General features: G+C 54.3%; 3 annotated features.

The window, feature by feature from the left end:
- Positions 2,538–3,037: an enhancer, noted in NCBI's record as "H3K4me1 hESC enhancer chr18:48636545-48637044 (GRCh37/hg19 assembly coordinates)". NCBI's record gives its function as "activates a minimal SCP1, AML or CMV promoter by ChIP-STARR-seq in naive H9 embryonic stem cells {active_cell/tissue: H9 hESC(naive)}" and the evidence as "EXISTENCE:reporter gene assay evidence [ECO:0000049][PMID:30033119]".
- Positions 2,686–2,795: a silencer, noted in NCBI's record as "silent region_9462". NCBI's record gives its function as "represses an Ori minimal core promoter by ATAC-STARR-seq in GM12878 lymphoblastoid cells {active_cell/tissue: GM12878}" and the evidence as "EXISTENCE:reporter gene assay evidence [ECO:0000049][PMID:35858748]".
- Positions 3,038–3,539: an enhancer, noted in NCBI's record as "H3K4me1 hESC enhancer chr18:48636043-48636544 (GRCh37/hg19 assembly coordinates)". NCBI's record gives its function as "activates a minimal SCP1, AML or CMV promoter by ChIP-STARR-seq in primed H9 embryonic stem cells {active_cell/tissue: H9 hESC(primed)}" and the evidence as "EXISTENCE:reporter gene assay evidence [ECO:0000049][PMID:30033119]".

Raw genomic sequence — 4,657 nt, 5'->3', positions numbered from 1 at the left:
CCTATATCTGCCTCCCCACTAACTGGACAGGCACCTGCACCTTAGTCTTTCTAAGTCCCAACATTAACATTGCCCCAGGAAATCAGACCTTATCAGTACCCCTCAAAGCTCAAGTCCGTCAGTGCAGAGCCATACAACTAATACCCCTACTTATAGGGTTAGGAATGGCTACTGCTACAGGAAGGGGAATAGCCGGTTTATCTACTTCATTATCCTACTACCACACACTCTCAAAGGATTTCTCAGACAGTTTGCAAGAAATAACAAAATCTATTCTTACTTTACAATCCCAAATAGACTCTTTGGCAGCAGTGACTCTCCAAAACCGCTGAGGCCTAGACTTCTTCACTGCTGAAAAAGGAGGACTCTGCACCTTCTTAGGGGAAGAGTGTTGTTTTTACACTAACCAGTCAGGGATAGTACGATTTGCCGCCCGGCGTTTACAAGAAAAGGCTTCTGAAATCAGACGCCTTTCAAACTCTTATACCAACCTTTGGGCAACATGGCTTCTCCCCTTTCTAGGTCCCGTGGCAGCCATCTTGCTGTTACTCGCCTTCAGGCCTTGTATTTTTAACCTTCTTGTCAAATTTGTTTCCTCTAGAATTGAGGCCATCAAGCTACAGATGGTCTTACAAATGGAACTCCAAATGAGTTCAACTAACAACTTCTACCAAGGACCCATGGACCAACCCACTGGCACTTCCACTGGCCTAGAGAGTTCCCCTCTGGAGGACACTACAACTGCAGGGCCCCTTCTTTGCCCCTATCCAGCAGGAAGTAGCTAGAGCGGTCATCGGCCAAATTCCCAACAGCAGTTGGGGTGTCCTGTTTAGAGGGGGGATTGAGAGGTGACAGCATGCTGGCAGCCCTCGCAGACCTCGCTCGCTCTCGGAGCCTCCTCTGCCTGGGCACCCACTCTGGTGGCACTTGAGGAGCCCTTCAACCCACTGCTGCACTGTGGGAGCCCCTTCCTGGGCTGGCCGAGGCCAGAGCCAGCTCCCTCAGCTTGCGGGGAGGTGTGGATGGAGAGGCACGGGTGGGAACCAGGGCTGTGCACAGTGCTTGCAGGCCAGCGCAAGTTCCGGGTGGGTGTGGGCTTGGGGGGCCCATGCTCGGAGCGGCCAGCCAGCCCTGCTGGCCCTGGGCAGTGAGGGGCTTAGCACCTGGGCCAGCAGCTGCTGTGCTCGATTTCTCACCAGGCCTTAGCTGCCTCCCTGCGGGGCAGGGTTCAGAACCTGCAGCCTGCCATACCTGAGCCTTCCCCCGCCCCGCCACCGTGGGCTCCTGCATGGCCCAAGCCTCCCAGACGAGTGCTGCCCCCTGCTCCACGGCCCCTGGTCCCATTGACCGCCCAAGGGCTGAGGAGTGCAGGCGCATGGCGCAGGACTGGCAGGCAGCTCCACCTGCGGCCCCGGTGCGGGATCCACTGGGTGAAGCCAGCTGGGCTCCTGAGTCTGGTAGGGACTTAGAGAACCTTTATGTCTAGCTAGGGGATTCTAAATACACCAATCAGCACTCTGTATCTAGCTCAAGGTTTGTAAACACACCAATCAGCACCCTGTGTCTAGCTCAGGGTTTGTGAAGGCACCAGTTGGCACTCTGTATCTAGTTAATCTGGTGGGGACTTGGAGAACCTTTATGTCTAGCTAAGGGATTGTGAATGCACCAATCGGCACTCTGTATCTAGCTCACAGTTTGTAAATGCACCAATCAGCACTCTGTGTCTAGCTCAGGGTTTGTAAACACACCAGTTGACACTCTGTATCTAGCTAATCTAGTGGAGACACCGAGAACTTTTGTGTCTAGCCCAGGGATTGTAAACGCGCCAATCAGCACCCTGTCAAAACGGACCAATCAGCTCTCTGTAAAACAAACCAATCAGCTCTCTGTAAAATGGACCAATCAGCAGGATGTGGGTAGGGCCAGATAAGAGAATAAAAGCAGGCTGCCTGAGCCAGCAGTGGCAACCCACTTGGGTCCCCTTCCACACTGTGGAAGCTTTGTTCTTTCGCTCTTTGCAATAAATATTGCTACTGCTCACTCTTTGGGTCCACACTGCCTTTAAGAGCTGTAACACTCACCACGAATGTCTGCAGCTTCACTCCTGAAGCCAGTGAGACCACGAACCCACTGGGAGGAACGAACAACTCCAGCGGGAGGAACGAACAACTCCAGATGCGCCATCTTAAGAGCTGTAACACCCACTGCGAAGGTCTGCACCTTCATTCCTGAGCCAGCGAGACCACGAACCCACCAGAAGGAAGAAACTCCGAACACATCCGAACATCAGAAGGAACAAACTCCGGACACACCGCCTTTAAGAACTGTAACACTCACCACGAGGGTCCGCGGCTTCATTCTTGAAGTCAGTGAGACCAAGAACCCACCAATTCTGGACACAACAGGATGTCTCCTGGAGGGCCCGGCAGCCTCACAGTGAAGATCCAGACTCCGCAGAATCCAGGTGCTGGGAGCGTCCGGGCAAGGCTGGGCCTGGCGGGCTCTCTGAAGGCAGCGGTCCAAGCCCACCCAGCCTCGGGCTCTGCACAGGGCCAGCCCCTCAGGGACTGCGGTTGACGACTCCGGGCTTGGTCCACTACGCCCACCTGGGTCCCGGGACATTGTCTATCTAGCCCGGAGGAGCTGGGAGGACAGAGGCGCCTCGGGAAACGCGCGCCTGCTCCCTTCGCGGGGCAAGGGCGACACCCAGTGGTGGCCGTGGGAACTCGGCTGCGTGGTATCCCCAGCCCGGGGCAGGCGCTGGGGCCCTCTGACCCCACTGCCCTCTTCCCTCTCCTCCCTCCTGCCCTGCTCCCAGCCCGCCCTGCAGACCCTGGCCCAGTTCCCAGGCTACCGTCAGCGCTGCTTGCCCCAGCTCCCTCCGCCCCACAAGGGGCAAACCCTGGCCAGGGCGGGGGCACCCCGGCTCTTTCCCAGGGTCCACCGTCCAGGGTGTCTTAGGTGGCCTTGAATACCAGGGACTGCCGCCCACCTTTAACTCCAGTCTCGCCCTGGGGTGCATGGCCCCGTTACCTGTGGGCCTTCACAATAAACGCAGCTCCTGCTAGCCCCTTCTCGCTGGGAAAATCCGCCTCCCCAGTGCATTGAGGGGACCTCGCGCTGTCACCTCGCAAAGGGCTCGCTCCACACCTAGAATCTGGAGCTCCCTTCACCTGCAGAGCCAGGACCACACCTGCCGCGGTGGTGAGCCTTGGAGGAGGCCACCATTCCCCAAACAGGACACTGAACAGTCCCTCTAGGCCAAGTTTATGACCGGCGTGTCCACTTCAAAGGCCACGGACATCTCCCAGACTTAACACTTTTCCATTATGCGTCCCTTTCACTTTCGGTAGCGAGGTCTCAGGAATGCCTTTCCAGGCTCCAGTCATATCGTTAAGATCGTTACGTACACTTTTCTCACTTTATGCTCACGCCAAACCTAAGAAGTTAGGTATTTCCGTCAGTGTTTTACAGATGAAGATACAGCGTCTTTCAAAGTTAAAAACGTTGTGAAGTTCCAACACACAGTAACAGAGCTAAGATTTGACCTCGGGAGGGACAGATGCCATAATCTCTTAATCTGACACCTGAACGTTCAGTTACTGATTCCTGTAAACCTGTAGGAAGACGTATTATTGTGGTAGTGTGGTCACCCACGGTGGAATATTTCGCACCTTTACTCTCCCTCCTGTCTGAGTAGTCCTTTGGTTGGTTTTCAGTGTACCAAGGACAGGTACTTCCAGCTCACCAGAGGTGACAGCTAAGTCCTCCTGCCCCAGTTCCGCCCTGGGTGTTCCTCCGACTTGCTCTGATCCCACCGCATGTGCCCCTCAGCCTTGGCCTCTGCAGGCCAAGGATCTGCATTCCCAGCGGGTTCCCTTAAGGACACTGCAATGTGGCCTGGCTTGGCCCAATACTATAATAATTTCTCCTTAAAGAAAGCAGCCTGCCAGGGCATTAAGTCAGCTACCATTTTGCTCAGCAGAGAGTCCACCTGCAGCCCCCAGCACAAAGCCTGGTTCACAGTGGGCACACGCTGCACACTTGAAGAATGAATGACCCCAGGCTGGATGGCTCACGCCTATAATCCTAGTACTTTGGGAGGCCAAGGGGAGTGGATCACTTGAGACCAGGAGTTTGAAACCAGCCTGGCCAATATAGTGAAACCTGTCTCTACTGAAAATACAAAAAATTAGCCAGGCATAGTGGCAGGCACCTATAATCCCAGCTACTTGAAAGGCTGAGGCACGAGAATCACTTGAACCCAAGGAGGTGAGGGTTGCAGTGAGCTGAGGTCGCGCCACTGCACTCCAGCCTGGCCGACAGAGAAAAAAAATATATTCCCATGGTGCTCTCCCTGGTGTCAATCTGTATCTTTTCTTTTTCTAAGGACACCAGTCATAGTGAACTGAGGCCCACCCTAATGACCTCATCTTAACTTGATTACTTCTGCAAAGACCCTGTTTCCAAATAATGTGACATTCACAGGTACTAAGGGTTAGAATAACATCTCTTTTAGGGGGACACCATTCAACCCGTAACAGCAGTGAAGGGCAATGTACCTGTGGTCTCACTGTCAATTAAAACCAAAGCTCTCAGGGCTTGGTTTGTCACAGGAAAGGTCAGCGGCGTTTATGAGGTTGGGTTGCTTTACACA

Source organism: Homo sapiens, chromosome 18 (assembly GCF_000001405.40).
Source record: "Homo sapiens chromosome 18, GRCh38.p14 Primary Assembly".
NCBI classification, from domain to species: Eukaryota; Metazoa; Chordata; class Mammalia; order Primates; family Hominidae; genus Homo; species Homo sapiens.
Note: the sequence above shows the minus strand (reverse complement) of the source record. Positions and strands in the feature narration are given on the sequence as shown.